Below are 16,403 nucleotides of genomic sequence, written 5' to 3'. Positions count from 1 at the left end.
CATCAGTGCCCTGACCCTGGGTGCTCACTCAGTCTATCCTTGGCTTGTGACTTTTGTGCTCATGCTTGTCTTGTGGTCATATGATAGTTACTCCACCTCCAACCTCTCATCAGCATTCTAGACAGAAAGAAAACGAGGAAAAGGGGTGCCTATACTGAGGAAGCAAAACTTTACTAGAAACCCTCAACTTACATCTCATTGTCCAGAACTAGGTCACATGATCACCCCTTCCTGAATGTGGGAAATAAAACAAGAATATTTACCATGATAATTTTACCAGACCAAGTAAAAGTCATGGTTAAAACCACTAATTTTATTTATTTATTTTTATTATACTTTAAGTTTTAGGGTACATGTGCACAACGTGCAGGTTTGTTACATATGTATACATGTGCCATGTTGGTGTGCTGCACCCCTTAACTCGTCATTTACATTAGGTATGCGAGACGCCGGCTGAGTCTCACGCCCGCGGGCGGCAGCCGGTCGACCCCGGAGGCCCGACTGAGGAGCGGTCGCGAGCGGAGGTCGGCCGGGTGCGGGGACGCCCCGGGCCTCGCCGCCTGCTGCCCGCCACCCGCGGTCTGCTGGTCGACCCGTGCGGAGGAAAGAGGAGGAGGGACGCGCGAGGGCCGGAACCCCGGGTGGCCGCCCCACCGGGGCCCGCGCGGCCACCCCCCGGGACGGGGGCCGGCGGGCCACGGGCCCGGCTCGGCGCGGCCGCCTCCGCGGTTCCCACCCACGCTCCCCGGGCCCCGTCCCGAGCCGCCCCGGCAGTGAACGGGGAGGAGGCGGGAACCGAAGAAGCGGCGCGCCGACCGGGGACGCGCGCCCCCCGCCCCCCACCACTGCCCGTGGTCGGCGGGAGAGGCCGGGAGGGAGGAAGACGAACGGACGGACGGCGCTGGACGCGTTATCCCTCCCCCCTCCCCCTACCCCACAACAGGCCCCAGTGTGTGATGTTCCCCTTCCTGTGTCCAAGTGTTCTCATTGTTCAATTCCCACCTATGAGTGAGAACATGCGGTGTTTGGTTTTCTGTCCTTGCGATAGTTTGCTGAGAATGATGGTTTCCAGCTTCATCCATGTCCCTACAAAGGACATGAACTCATCCTTTTTTATGGCTGCATGGTATTCCATGATGTATATGTGCCACATTTTCTTAATCCAGTCTATCATTGTTGGACATTTGGGTTGGTTCCAAGTCTTTGCTATTGTGAATAGTGCCACAATAAACATATGTGTGCATGTGTCTTTATAGCAGCATGATTTATAATCCTTTTGGTATATACCCAGTAATGGGATGGCTGGGTCAAATGGTATTTCTAGTTCTAGATCCCTGAGGAATGGCCACACTGACTTCCACAATGGTTGAACTAGTTTACAGTCCCATCAACAGTGTAAAAGTGTTCCTATTTCTCCACATCCTCTCCAGCACCTATTGTTTCCTAAAAACCACTAATTTTAAAATGCTGCCTGTGGTTGGCAGAATTATGCCCCACCATCACCCCCAAAGGATGTCCACAACCTAATCCCTGCATTCATATTTTGTCTCTTTCTTTCACTTTTTGAACAAAAATCCTATGCTTATAAGTAAAAGGAGTTTTTCCCTGAAAAAACTTTTCCCCCCAGTCCCTAGTATGGACGAGTTTGAATTTGGTAGTTTGAATTTAGATCTGTCCATGGAAATTCAGTTCAAATATAGGACTAGATCTCCCTGGATCCATAGAGAAGTTCCAGTCAAAGATGTGTGTGTGTGTGTGTGTGTGTGTGTATGTGTGATTTACTTATCTTCAGCTGACAAAGGTTGGCAGTTGTAGGGCACTTGGCCATCTCTTATTTCTCTACAATAAGGATTACTTCATCCTTATTTGTAATTCCTAAAACTAAATTAAATTTTATGTACATATGTATTCATTCATTTCTTTATTTTAGTTTGTTGATTTAAGAATATTCCCACAAGTTAAACAATGAAAGTGATAGTTATATTAGAGATATGAATGACTAATTATTCCTGCCCACCACCTACATCATTTTCCCCCCAGCTTAATGGAGGTTTTATTGACAAACAAAAATTATATATACTTGCATCCAGTCATAAAAAAGAATGAGATCATGTCCCTTGCAGGGCCATGGATGGAGCTGGAGGCCATTATCCTTAGCAGACTAACACAGGAACAGAAAACCAAATACTGCATGCTCTTACTTATAAGTGGGAGCTAAATGATGAGAACACATGGACACACAGAGGGGAACACACACTGAGGCCTATCAGCGGGTGGAAGGTGAGAGGAGGGAGAGGATCAGGAAAAATAACTAATGGGTACAAGGCTTAATACCTGAGTGATGAAATAATCTGTACAACATACCTCCAACACAAAAGTTTACCTATATAACAAACCTGCATATGTACCCCCTTAACTTAAAATAAAAGTTAAAGAAAAAGTAGGAAGAATGAACAGAAAAAATATATATACTTAAAGTATACAATGTGATGTTTTGATATAGGTATACATTGTGTAATTATTACCACAGTCAAGCTAATTAACGTAGTCATCACCTTATATAGTTACTCTTTTGTGTGTTTATGGTGAGAATATTTTTCTATAACTGAAAGTTTCTACCCTTTGACCAATATCTCTCCATGTCCGCCATCCCTTGACCATATATGCCCTCATATGGTCATAATTGTATGAGGTTATGACCTCATAACAACCATTCTTTCTTTTTCCTTGAGTTCAACTTTTTAGATTCCATATTGTAAGTGAAATCATGTAGTATTTGTCTTTCTGTGTCTGGCTTATTTCACTTAGCATAATATCCTCCAGGTTCATTAATCATTCATGTCACAAATGGCAGGATTTGCTTTTTAAAACTGAATAGTATTCCATTTTCTGTGTATGTGTGTATATCACATTTTCTTTATCCATCCATTTGTCAACAGACACTTTGATTCTTTCGTATCTTGAGACTAATGTGAATATGCTGCAGTGAACATGGGGTGAAGATCTGTCTTCAAGATGGTGATTTTCTTTCCTTTGAACATATACCCAGAAGTGGGATTGCTGGGTCATATGGTAGCTCTATTTTTAATTTTTTGAGGAACCTACATACTGTTTTCCATAATGGCTGTACCAGTTTACATTCCCACCAACAGTGTGCAAGAGTTCCCATTTCTGTGCATCCTTGTTCTCACTTTTTAAAAGAGAAACTACCCTTCTATGGCCTTACTGAACAGTGACCATGTTTTGAACCACTTGATTCCTGTCTCCCGTCTCTCCCTCTTGCCACATCTGGAATGAGACATAATCCAAAGATGACCAACCTGTGGGCTTACCAACAACCTGTGGCTTGATTTGCAAAGTTTAACTCAGTCAGTTTTAAGTACTATGCATGTTGTCTAGATTGAAATTCCGACTTAGCCACTTGCTAGTTGTGTAACCTTAAGCAGGTTACCCAAAGTTCACTATGCCTCAGTTTCCTTCTCTGTAATATTAGATCCTATATAATGTGGTTTTGAGAATTAAAAATAGTTAAGTCCTTAGAACAGTATCTGGCTCATACTCAAAGCTTCATAAATGGTAGCCATTATTATTATTCTGGTAGGAATTTGGAATTAAGAAACTGAATAACTAAAAGAGTTACTAGTAGAAACTAAAGGTAGAGTGTCATGAGATAGAACAGTGGTTTTTATTCCTTTTTGGGGTCATTGCTTTCCTGAAGCATCTGATGAAAGTATGGACATTCCCTGCAGAAAAGTTCATAAGTATATATAAACAATAAAATCAAGGTTGAAAGCACCTGATGCAGAGAATGATGGAGAGGAGGCCACAGCAAGTCAGAGCCATGTGCAAGTCAGCCTTGAGAAGGAGCAGAAACTGCCACCAAAGCAGAGGGAACTGTTGAGTAAACGGAGGGGAATGGACTGAATGAAAAGGCAGAAGCAGAAGCTGGGAGATAGCCCTTCAGTTCCGGTCCAGTGATTTCTACCCCAGAATTCCTGTGAGATCTCTGTTTATCTCCTCACAGCCAACTTCCCTGCTTATAACCAAGCTAGCATAGCCTCCCTTCTTGCAATCACACTATCCAGACCGAAAAAAAAAAAAAAACTTGAAACCAACTTCTACATGATGAAGCATTATTGCTGTGTCATTTCAGATTTCTTTCAGCCAACATTATGATGTTTTCCTGTGGTGTGATTATATCAACAGCAAATGCTTTCAGAGTAAAGTGAATAGCCATCTGTAGTTACTTTTCAGCGGCTGCTAACTTCCTTTTTTGTAGATAGAACACTTTCCAGGCATATCCTAGTTTTTAACATTCCACTTTAAGGAAAAAGCAAGGAAGAAGTAACGTCAACCTATCTCTCTAGTAGAATTCTCTTTTATTTCTATTAATTTTTTAAAGTTTTTAAGCAGAAAATGAGGCAGAACTTCATAAGATTTTGTAGGTGAAAAGGATTTTAAGGAATTTTCCAGGCCCATTACATCCAAAGAAAACTGGACCCTGGTATCCTATTGCATACTTAGTCTAATTTAGTCCTCACAGTAACCTTATGTGATATAATACCCTTCCTTACAGATGAGGAAACAGGCTTAGAGAGATCTGACCCCTTGCCCAAGATCGCTATAGCAAGTGGTAGAACCAGGATTTGATCTCAGGGTTTTCTGACTACAAAGCCTATGCTGCAATGCTTCACTGGACTCTAAAACTTAGGCTAGAGAAGAGTGAGGCTTTCACTTTATTTCCCCCATTGGTCTCTCTCTCAGCAGCTCTTCTAGAAAAGAAGAATGGGAACTTGCAAGCCCCATTTTTTTGATCCTTGAGCCGAATGGGTCTTGAATGTGTCCATCGAGCATCTGCCTCCGTTGCAGTGTCATCTCAAGTGGTGGTACCTTCCCACTGGGCTGGAGCTACTATTGGATACTTAGCCAACCCTCCTTCCATAATGAGGCCTTCACATGGGACCACAGCTCAGCATTGCTGGGAAGAATGGTCAGAGACTGCAGGGGCAGCAGCGATCCACAGTTTGAACAGAAGCATCACTAAGACTTGTTTACAGACTATTTGCAGGATAGAGGTGTGGTTAAAAGCACTGGCTCTAGAAGTAGACTGCTTAGGTGAATCTCAACTCTTTCACAATACTTGTAGGGCAAGAACCTACTACCTCTTTTTTTTTTTTTTTTTTTTGAGACGGAGTCTCGCTCTGTCGCCCAGGCTGGAGTGCAGTGGCGGGATCTCGGCTCACTGCAAGCTCCGCCTCCCGGGTTCACGCCATTCTCCTGCCTCAGCCTCCCAAGTAGCTGGGACTACAGGCGCCCGCCACTACGCCCGGCTAATTTTTTGTATTTTTAGTAGAGACGGGGTTTCACCGTTTTAGCCGGGATGGTCTCGATCTCCTGACCTCGTGATCCGCCCGCCTCGGCCTCCCAAAGTGCTGGGATTACAGGCGTGAGCCACCGCGCCCGGCCCCTACTACCTCTTAAAGTCTCCATTTCTTTATCTGGAAAGTAAGATATTTCTTTAAAAGTGCATACCATATAGGGTTGTTGTGAAGATTAAATGTGATAATGCACGTAAACCACTTAGCTCAGTGCCTGGCATGGTAACGCTCAGTGAGTGTTGGCTATTACTATACTACTTGAAAACAGTTTAGAGAAAAAGCAAAGAAAGAGGAACATCAACCTCTACTGGATCCTTTTATTTTGGTTAATTTTGAGTTTTTGAACTGAAAACAAGTCATAAATGTATAGGCTTTTATAGCTGGGAAGGATTACTTTCCTTGAAAATGGTAACTCCTGTGTTTAGCTGACAAAACCAGTTTTTAAACTGCAGTCATTTTATGAGTGTAAAATATTACCTTCAAAAGGCATAGAATGTATATGCATTTTATTACTGTAATTAAGAGAGGTACAAATATGTTCTTGTTCCAAGTTTTTTGTTGCTAAACCATTAAATAATCTGGTGGTTGTTTTCCTGTTACTCAGCAACATAAAGAAGCTTCAGTCTTCAGTCTTCAGTCTTCATATCTTTTTAGAAATGCATAAAATTTGTAGATTGCTAATGTATTCTTGTAACATTACTGTTAGCCAGGCATGGTGGCTCATGCCTATAATCCTAACACTTTGAGAGGCCGAGGTGGGAGAATCACTTGAGGCCAGGAGTTCAAGACCAACCTGGGCAACATATCATGACCCTGTATCTACAAAAAAATTTAAAAATCACTGTGAAGTAGCTAGCAGATAATTACTATTTTTATTTTATTTATAGCAATACATCTAGTACCTCATTAAATAGAAATTTGAGGTACAAGTAGTTACTTGCCTAAGTTACATAATTTTTCCTCACCAAAAACTTTTTATTCTGTGGCATTTCTTACCGCTTGTCATCTTTTTCTTTAGTTAAAAACACTAATTTTTTTATTATTTAAAAAAATTCAAAAAGGGACTGTATTATATTGGAAGAAAGACTAAATCCTGTGTGTGTGATGAAAATGGATTAAGGTTTTGATGTTGAATTTTAAACTCATACTTATGCTACATCCAGGAATTTTTCATAATATCTGCAGTTGAGGTGAGTGCATCCATTTATTAGATTTAGACCACTTAATATAAAAACAATGAAGTAACTCAGGATTTACTAATTGTAAATACATAGTATAAATATGTTTAGAGAAAAATTATATGCAAATGTTTTTTCCCTTGCCTAGAATTTGAAGATATTGTTAAAACATGGCAATCTATTGCAAACTTGACTGTTTAGAATCAAACAGAATTATTTAAAATTCAGTTTTAATAGTACTACAGCAATCAGGTGGAGAGAAACCAAAATAATTATTAAAATGATTTCAAAGTTTAAGACGAAAAGTAAATAACATTGGACTAAGTTTCCAACCTTTCCCTTGGTCTAGGACATTAACCTTCTCTCTTTAGCTGCCTAACCCTTATGTATCCTTCTGGGCCCTGCGTTTGTCTCAGTGAAGCCTTTCCTAACCTGGTCAGGTCTCATGTTTAATACAGTGTTAGCACTGTGACCTCTTCCTATATCTCTTGTTTGTCTGGATTGTAATAATATGATTGTTGATAATTTTTTAAAACTGTGTTCCTCACTTGACTCTAAGTTTGATCAGGGCAGGAACCAAATGTGCCCTTTTCACTCCCAGACGCTTAATGCAGTGTTAAACATCACACTAGACCCACAGACATTCTCAATAAATATTTATTGACTGATAGATGAATGGATTCCTTGTTTAGGATATTGTAGCTGAGAGATATTGAGAAGAATCAACTGGCTACTTCCCACTGGTTTTCAGATCAGTTAGTTGCTACTAGGTTACCATGGATAAAGGATTTGTTTATAAGCCCAGAAGTTTAATTTTATCCTCTTGATTCTCAGTTATTGATACTAGTAAACAAACTTACAAGAAACTAATTTGTATGAGAGAATACAACCCCGAAATTTACATAGGAAAATGTACCTAGAAACTGGGGCTTGTGGTCTATACAGGTGTGGCAGAGACGGTAATCACTTACCTTGTCCTTCTCAACATTTCCTACCTAGCTTGCAGTTAGGTGGGGACCACAGGACTAACCTGTGGTATTGGCCAATGAACTCTGCACAGAGTGATGTGTCACTTTGAGGCCAAGGGAATTCAGAGCCAGCATGCTTTCTTGTTTGTTTCTTTTGCCAAAGCGTGTGCTCTTTAGGCCTCCTGTTCTCATTGGCAAATCTACGAGAGGGAAGAGGGCTGCCTGACCAGGATTGGACTTAAGCATAATAACTATGCTTTTAAAAAAGTTAAGAGAATAAGAACTAACATGAAAATTTAAAATATTTAAGTCATTATCATTGATATTTTTCCATACTTTAGAGATAGTTCTCACAATTCTTGAGCCACAAGTTTGGAATGATTTCTTCTACCACAATATTTTTGGTGTCTTCCTGGTAAATAAGGAAAATCCAGGTTGAAATGGGCAACTTCTATAAGTCAAGAGCTGGAAAATCTTTTTTCCTACAGTTTATGTATTTTAGCAGTAGTTTATGTAGCAAAATGGATCTCTTATGAGATAATTTTTTCATTAAGTATTTTTTCAACAGAATTATATTTGAGCCTTGAGCGCCTATTTTCTTCAAGATATTGTTAAGCTCTGCAAAGGTGAGTAAGTCATATATCTTGTCTTCAGTATTTTACCATCCATAACAGACTGCTAATTATTCAGCAAAATGTGTTTCCTGTTCTTTGGAGGCACATCCTCCCTTGCAGTTACGTGTCATGTGACAGAGTACTCATTGGTGGAATTTCTGAGGTCTAGACACTTCTAGGTCTAACTCATAAAAGCCTCCCGCAAGTGATTCTCCATTCTCTGCCACTTTTGTTGGCTGGCTGTTGATGCGCAGCGTAACTTGAAGTCATGTGTTGAAGATGGAAGCGTTTTTGTCGGACATGTCACTGAACAGTTGCATGGAGCAAAGGCCTACTCCCTCCCCACAGAAACGTTTGTATTGGACTAATGTATGGGTAATAAATCAACTTCTTGTGTAAAGCCACTGAAAGTTTGGAGTTTATCTGTAATTGCAATTAGCATTATTCTAGGCAACTTCTAATAGATGATACAGCAATTCCAGTGTGAATATTTAAATTTTCAACAATGATTAATTTGTCTTATTTGTAATGCATCGTGCTTAGAAGAGACATGTTTTCATTTAAAACAGTCTGCTAATTCTTTCTCTTGCTTTCATTACTCCAAATTATATGTCTCTTCTTTTAACAGCCAACAAATGGCTACTCTGATTAAGGAGGCCCTTCATTATCCTTCTTCCTCTCACACCGTTTTATAAGGTCATTTATATGGTTTCTGTGCTTACAAATTCATTGAGCATTTACTCTTATTTATAAGTGCAGTAGGAAAAAAAGAAGGGATAAATTTAGAATGTTAACACAGAAGTGTTTTTTGTTTTTGTTTTTGTTTTCTTGAGACGGAGTCTTGCTCTGTCGCCAGGCTGGAGTGCAGTTGTGGGATCTCAGCTCACTGCAACCTCCGCCTCCCGGGTTCAGGTGATTCTCCTGCCTCAGCCTTCCGAGTAGCTGGGACTACAGGTGCACACCACCACACCCAGCTATTTTTTGTAATTTTAGTGGAGACAGGGTTTTACCATGTTGACCAGGATGGTCTCGATCTCTTGACCTCATGATCTGCCCACCTCGGCCTCCCAGAGTGCTGGGATTACAGACATGAGCCACCACTCCTGGCAAGAAGTGTTTTTTAGATGGCTGACCTGAACTCTGGCAGGTCACTTTTCTAAAAAGTGTTGCTGCCTCGAGAAAGTTACCAACATGTGAAAGCTAGTTTGTATTAAACCTTCCACCTAATGCCCATGGCAGAAATCTAGTTATTCTTGATTCATGTCTGTCCTCACCATCTCCACTCCCATCTGATCAATCACCAGATGAGGTCAATTGAGTCTCCTAAATATCTTTTGAGTGTGACTACCACCATGCTCTAGTGTAGGTTTCTATCAAGCATCCCATGGACGCAGCTGTCTCTTAACTGGTCTCCATAGCTCCAGTCTTAAGACTTCCATGCTGTAGCCAGAACTTCTTAACATGACTTGGAAGGCCCTTGCATCATCAGCAATTAATTCTCCTCTCTTTTCTCTAGTTTTCCTTTCCTTTACTGTTACTGTCCTTTCTGTGCCTTGTGCTCCAGGCTTACTGAACTTCTTTCCATCCTTTAAACATGCTTTTTTCTTTCTGAAGCCTCTCAGCCTCTGTTCCTGCTGAGATCTCCATGTGGCACACTACTCTTTCCCACTCCTCCTCCTCCACCCCATCGCCTCAATAATTCCTACCCATTCTTTAGTTTTCAACTTAGATGTTACTTCTGGGATCACCTTCTCGGTCCTTGAGGTCTGGGTTAACTGCCTTTCATTTGTACTGTAATATATCTCCCTGCATTTCCTCTAATAGCTCCTTTGTTACATTTTCCTTTTACTTGTCTGCATCCCCTACTGGGCTGTCTGGAGGAACACAGACCATAGTTATGTTGATCACCATTGTATCTAAGCCCTTGGCGTATTGCTTAGCACAAAAAATATTTGTTAGATGAATGAGTAATAGGTTGTGTAAGAACCTAGTCTTTTTTCAGACTTGTCTGTAGAGTGATATTTGAGGATATAATAAAGAAGAGACTGAAGTCAGTGCCAGAGTATCTTTTCACATATTGGGAAATCATCAGTGAAGACCGTTTATAGGAGAAATGATTGAATGCTGGATAGTTGTTGAAGATTGAACTAACAAGATTTGCCAATGGATTGGATGATGGGTGTGGATGACTCCATGTGTATAAGTTATATTTGCTTGGCAAAATTGTTCATGAAAAGTTAATGTCGCCATTATGGTTAAGGTGATTGTGAGAATTAAATGGCCTATACATATAAAGTCTCTACCTAGTCTAGTGCTTGGCATTTTGTAGGTACTCAATAAATATTATTTTCCTATTTGTAAGTGACTTAGTGCTTTGTTAAGGCAAGGAAGCTGAATGTGTTATAACATGCTGCTGTTTCTAAGCAAAACTGTGCAGCAGGTGAAGTTGGTGCCCAGTGTCTGCTGGAACTTCTGCAGTCCTCTCCGTTGTCCTACCCAGAACCCCACAGGCTATATCTCAAGGTCAGTACTCCTTCCCTTGACCTGGTACTCTACTTGTCTCTCCAGTTCCCTCACTTGGAAGGCTTATTACTCTCATGTTTCATCCTGACTTCCTCTAACTTAAGTGTAGGTAACACAACATAAAGAGTTAAGAGCATTTACTCTGCTGTCAGACTGCTGGGTTTGAACTGTGGCTCTATCACCCCTGACCTTTGTAACCTTTTGCAAGTTACTAGACCTCTCTTGTCCTCATTTTTTACCATATGTAAAATAGGAAGAGAAACTCTTAGAACTGTGAGAATAAAAGAGATAATTCTTGTAGTACATTTGAAATTGTGCCTAGCACATAAAAAACACTGAATAATTGTTTGCCATTTTGAGTCATAATCATACCTGATGACTTCAGCCACTTCTGTGTAGCCCTCAATATCCCTTCTGTACCAATTCTTGAATTTCTGCACTCCTGTCCTCTCATCCATCCTTTGATCTTGTTTCCATTTGGAAAAGTAAACTCAAACTCAGAATTCAAAACTAAACTTATCAACTTCCCTATTAAGGCAAGCTTATCTCTTTTTATAGCAGAATGTGTTGGCTACAAGTAGTAATAGAAAAACCCAAATAAAAGTGACAAACTACAAGGAAAGTTATTTCTCTCCCATAACAAGAAGTGTAGTAGTAGAATGGGTCCTGGGTTGGATAATTCAGTTGCTCAGTTATGTTTTCAAGGACCCAGGTGCCTTCCATTTCCTCAGCATTTTGACTTGTCCTTTTAGACTGGCTCTCCTCAACTCAAGATGAAAACTCAGGCAACACGTGCATATGACAGCTTTCAAAAAGGATTGCCCCACATCTTTACTCAGATCCAAGAAAAGCTTCCTAATCTCATCAATGACAAGAGGACTGGAATTCCCAGCTTTACCTTAGACTAACCAAGATCCATTCTCTTGGAGCTGGGGATAGCATTCCATTTCTGGAACACATGGCTTGGTGAGGGATGAACACCTGAGCAGCATCAGAGCCCTCCTGGCAAAAAAAAAAAAAAAAAAAAAAAAAAGAGGGTGAGGGTTGGGAGATAAATGTGGCTAGAGGGCATACAGTGTCTACTACAAGGTTTGAAATATTTCATGATTAGAAGTAAAAGATATAAAAATGAAGAAGAATTAGTAGTCACATTGAAGTTAGGGAAAACTAGGTAGTAAGTACTGTAGAAAATCAACTCAGACCAAGGATTGGGGCTGGAGTAGCGGGGATGGATTTGGGAGATGCAGCATGCATCCTCATTGACTGGACATAGGGAGGGGAAGAAAGGCCTCACTTGACTTCCAGTTTCTTTTTGGCTAAGTGGATAGCCATTCATGGAGATGAGGAAGACAACAGGATGAGTAGGTTTGACTGGTAGAGGTTTACTTGAGTTATGTTTTAAATGCATTGAGTCTGGGATGCCTAGTGAGACATCCTAGTTGAAATATCCTATAGGCAGTTGGAAGAAATGTCTGAACTGGAAATGTAGATGCCCTTTTGAGAGCAGAAACTGCTCCTTCCTCTTTTCTTCATTATTGATGGTGTCTCCCAGTCTTTTTCAAGTCTTCCTCATCCTTTGGTGCCTCTCAGGCTGATAGCCTTCTCCCTCTCTTCTTAAGGAATACACTCACTTTTGGTGAAGCCGTTGCTACAATTGCTGTCTGTCTGCCAAGGTTTCAGTGTAATGCCATAAGGCAAATAACCTAAACCCATTAAAATTAATTCAGAATTTAAAAGGCCAGATAATTTAATCTACTTTTTAAAAGACTCATAAATATTAAATTACCAAAAAAAAAGACAACTCCTCAAACAGAATAGATTTATCCTAAGCCGAGGAAATTGTGATAAGTGGACAGAGTTATTTAAAGGCATATTAAAAGTTAGATTTCTCACGCCTGTAATCCCAGCACTGTGGGAGGCCGAGGCAGGCAGATCACTTGAGGTCAGGAGTTCGAAACCAGCCTGGCCAACATGGTGAAACCCCGTCTCTACTAAAAATATAAAAATTAGCCGAGCATGGTGGTGGGTGCCTGTAATCCCAGCTACTTGGGAGGCTGAGGCTGGAGAATCCTTGAACCCAGGAGGCAGAGATTGCGGTGAGCCAGGATCACGCCATTGCACTCCAGCCTGGGCAATAGAGCGAGACTCTGTCTCAAAAAAAAAAAAAAAAGTTACGGACTTAACCTTATGGTTCCCCAAAAGTATAAACATGAGAAACAGAGATCAGGAATTTTCAATCATTTGCTATTTAGACCTAAATTACCAGGGGAAATCCTCCAGCACATTCTGACACAGGACACCCAACCATCTGTACCTTTTCTGAGTCTGTGAACTCTGAACTTCAGGGTCACCCTTAGAACTCTTTGTATCTGCGCTTCTGTTTCTCTTGCCACCTACTCTCTCCTCCCTTTCTCAGCCTCCCTGTCTGCTGTCTGGGTGCTCTTCTCTGCAGCTTCCTCACCCTTCATATATAGTCCCTTGTCACATTGGTTCCTGGCTCTGGCTACCCACTACTTCCTCCCCTTTGCCACTTCTCCCCAGTGTTCATGTACACCTTTCAGCCACATCATTCTCCTGGCTGCTTCCTGCTCATGCCTGTCAAGGTCACCTGCATGCCACTGCTTTTGCTTTGTCCTGGCCTTTTCCCTTCACCCTTTACTTAGCCCTTTCCCACTGCCTTTAGGTATAGAGGAAGCATTAATTAGTTTTTGCCTGTCTTTAGAGAAGCAGATCATTGATCATTGTGAATTTGTACTGCAAATACTGTATAGATTATTAGCTCACCTGACAATTATAGTTGGACCCCTTCTAATAAGATGATGCAAAAGGCCTGTCCAAGTATTAGCAGTTGCTATTATTGCTGAGCACAGAAACTCTGCATGAGTGCCCCTTATTTTAAAAACAGCCCAATGGCTGGGCACAGTGGCTTACACCTATAATCCCAGCACTTTGGGAGGCCAAGACAGGCAGATTAATTGAGGCCAGGAGTTTGAGACCAGCTTGGCCAACATGGTAAAACCCTGTCTCTACCAAAAATACAAAAATCAGCCAGGCATAGTGGCACATGCCTGTAATCCCAGCTATATGGGAAGCTGAGGTGTGAGAATCGTGTGAACCCAGCAAGTGGAGGCTGCAGTGAGCCAAGAACACGCCACTGCCCTCCAGCCTGGGCAACAGAGCAAGACTCTGTCTCAGAAAAAGAAAAAAAAAAAAAAAAAGGCCTAGGCCAGATACAGTGGCTCATGCCTGTAATTCCAACACTTTGGAAGGCCAAGTGGGGAAGATTGCTTGAGGCCAGGAGTGCAAGACCAGCCTGGGCAACATAACAAGACCCCCATGTCTATAGAATAAAAAACAAAAAAATTTAGTTGGGTGTGGTGACACATGCCTGTAGTCTTAGCAGCTCAGGAGGCTGAGGTGGGATGATTGCTTGAGCTCAGGAATTTGGGGCTGCAGTGAGCTTATGATTGCACAACTGCACTCCAGGATGGGTGACAGTTTTTTTTTTTTTTTTTATCAAAAACAAAAATGAATAAAAACAGCCCTAGGAGGGGGTGTGGGAGAGCAGGCATTTTCTTTGAGATACAATTTAGAAATATCTCTCAAATCTACCCTAAATATACATATGTGTGTGCATGTGTGTATTTATATGTACGTATACGTACACATGTTTACATATATACGTATGGCTATACCTAAAGGCATAAAATTTGCATACAAAATTTCTCAATGTCTTAGTCTTTCAGGCTGCTCTAACAAAATATCATAAAGTAGGTAGCTTATAAATGGCAGAAATTTATTTCTGACAGTTCTGGAGGCCAGGAAGTCCAATATTAGGGTGCTGACATAGTTGAGTTTTTGTGAGTGACCTCTGCTGGGTTGCAGACTGCCACCCTCTCATTGTATTATTACATGGTGGAAAAAGAGTATGTTAGCTCTGTGGCCTCTTCCTGTAAGGGCACTAGTCTCATTCATGAGGGCTCTACCCTTGATGACCTGGTTAACCCCAAAGGCCCCCTCTCCAAATACCATCACATTAGGAGTTAGATTTCAATGTATGAATTTTGGCGTGGCAGGGGGTGGGACACAAATATTCCATTCATAGTGCTCAGAATACATTAGAAATCGATAGCATTGGTTATAGTCGGATAAAAGCACTGGAAGTTCTGGGATAAGCTGTGAGGGAAAACTTTTACTGCATTCCTTTTATATCTTTTGAATTCTGATTATTGACGTATTACTTAAATATTTCTTTCAAATTTACTTTTTTTTTTTTTTTTAAAGAGACAGGCTCTCATCCAAGCTGGAGTGCAGTGGCATGATCATATCTCACTGCAGCCTCGTACTCCTGGGCTCAAGCAATCCTCCTGCCTCAGCCCCCTGAGTAACTAGGACCACAGGCATGCACCACCATGCCTGGGTAATTTTTAAATTTTTTTGCGGAGACAAGGTTTTACTATGTTGCCCAGGCTGATCTTGAACTCCTGACCTCAAACAGTCCTCCCACCTTGGCCTTCCAAAACATCAAATTTAGTATTCTATGACCCATCAGTTCTCACTTGAAGAAATTTTCCCCCACAGAAATGCTTGTTTGGGTTAGGAAAATTGTGGGTAAGGTGATGTTAATGATAACATTGTTTATAGTAACAATAGCAACCACAAAAGCAGGAGCAACCTAAAAGTACATCAGTAGGGGCTGACATCTCAATTATAACATATCTATGCTGTTATTTAGGAAAATGAGGTATGCAAATATGGTAATGTGAAAGGGTTGCTGATTAAGATAGGGTAGGTTATGCTAGAGTTACAAACAACCCCAAAGTCTCAGTGGCTTTAATGTAAGAAGGCTTATTTCTCAGTCACATAAACTTTTCTGTCAATCCAGGGGACTCTCCAGGCAATCCCTGAGCACGCAAGCTGCTTTGATCTTGTGGCTCTGCCATCTCAAACACAGAGGTTCCTCAGTCACCAAAGCATGTGCACACCAGCTTTTCTGTGCTTTGGCCCAGAAGTGTGTGTGTATCCCACAGCCTGCCGGGCAGAGCTAATAGCATGGCCTTGCCTAACTCCCGCAGAAGTGTGGGAGAACAGATGAAATGTTTGGGATATAAGCCTGCTTTACTATTTACTGCTAATGTTACCTTTAGTATTTAAGACATCCTAATTGAGAAAAACATGTAGATCAGATTATATGATATATATCACATACAGACAAGATATATTAATATGACACGTAAGATACAGTGTATATTTTACATATTATATATAATTTTGTTTTAAATATGTATATACATAGGGTATAGGAACATAAAGTTTTATGGAAGAATATATAAGTTAACAATAGGAACCTCTAGAGAGTGGAACTAAGGTTACCCTGTTTAAATATTTTTACTGTAATTTTTACTGTAATAAAGTGTTTAAACTGCTTTAAACACTATAGTATAGTCTTTACCTTTTATTCATACATATTAAAATAGTAGGATTATTGTGTATTAATTTTTGTGATTTTTTTCCAATCTGGTTTAAATTGACTTTGTGAAATCCTCCATGAAAATAAATTCAAGTTTGAGAAATCTGAGTTGTGCAACTGTTATTTCACCTTAAGTGAAATTAACTTATAGCCTATTTATGTGTGTATATAATATGTATAGACCAAAGAGAATTGCCAAATTCACCTACATTTTTATTTATACATCCTATGTTATTTAGTTAAGGCTTACGTGTTGCCAGTTTTGTAAAATA

The 16,403-nt window shown here is 40.7% G+C and overlaps 1 protein-coding gene across 6 annotated transcripts in view, besides 2 other annotated features; it reads left to right on the top strand.

Moving 5' to 3' along the window:
- Positions 1-16,403, top strand: part of MYO1D (myosin ID) — a 384,603-nt gene that overhangs the window by 53,814 nt on the left and 314,386 nt on the right. The window lies entirely within an intron of this gene.
- Positions 452-661: a silencer, noted in NCBI's record as "silent region_8429". NCBI's record gives its function as "represses an Ori minimal core promoter by ATAC-STARR-seq in GM12878 lymphoblastoid cells {active_cell/tissue: GM12878}" and the evidence as "EXISTENCE:reporter gene assay evidence [ECO:0000049][PMID:35858748]".
- Positions 742-811: a silencer, noted in NCBI's record as "silent region_8428". NCBI's record gives its function as "represses an Ori minimal core promoter by ATAC-STARR-seq in GM12878 lymphoblastoid cells {active_cell/tissue: GM12878}" and the evidence as "EXISTENCE:reporter gene assay evidence [ECO:0000049][PMID:35858748]".

This window comes from Homo sapiens, chromosome 17 (assembly GCF_000001405.40).
Source record: "Homo sapiens chromosome 17, GRCh38.p14 Primary Assembly".
NCBI lineage: Eukaryota > Metazoa > Chordata > Mammalia > Primates > Hominidae > Homo > Homo sapiens.
This window is presented reverse-complemented; position numbering and strand designations above follow the sequence as displayed.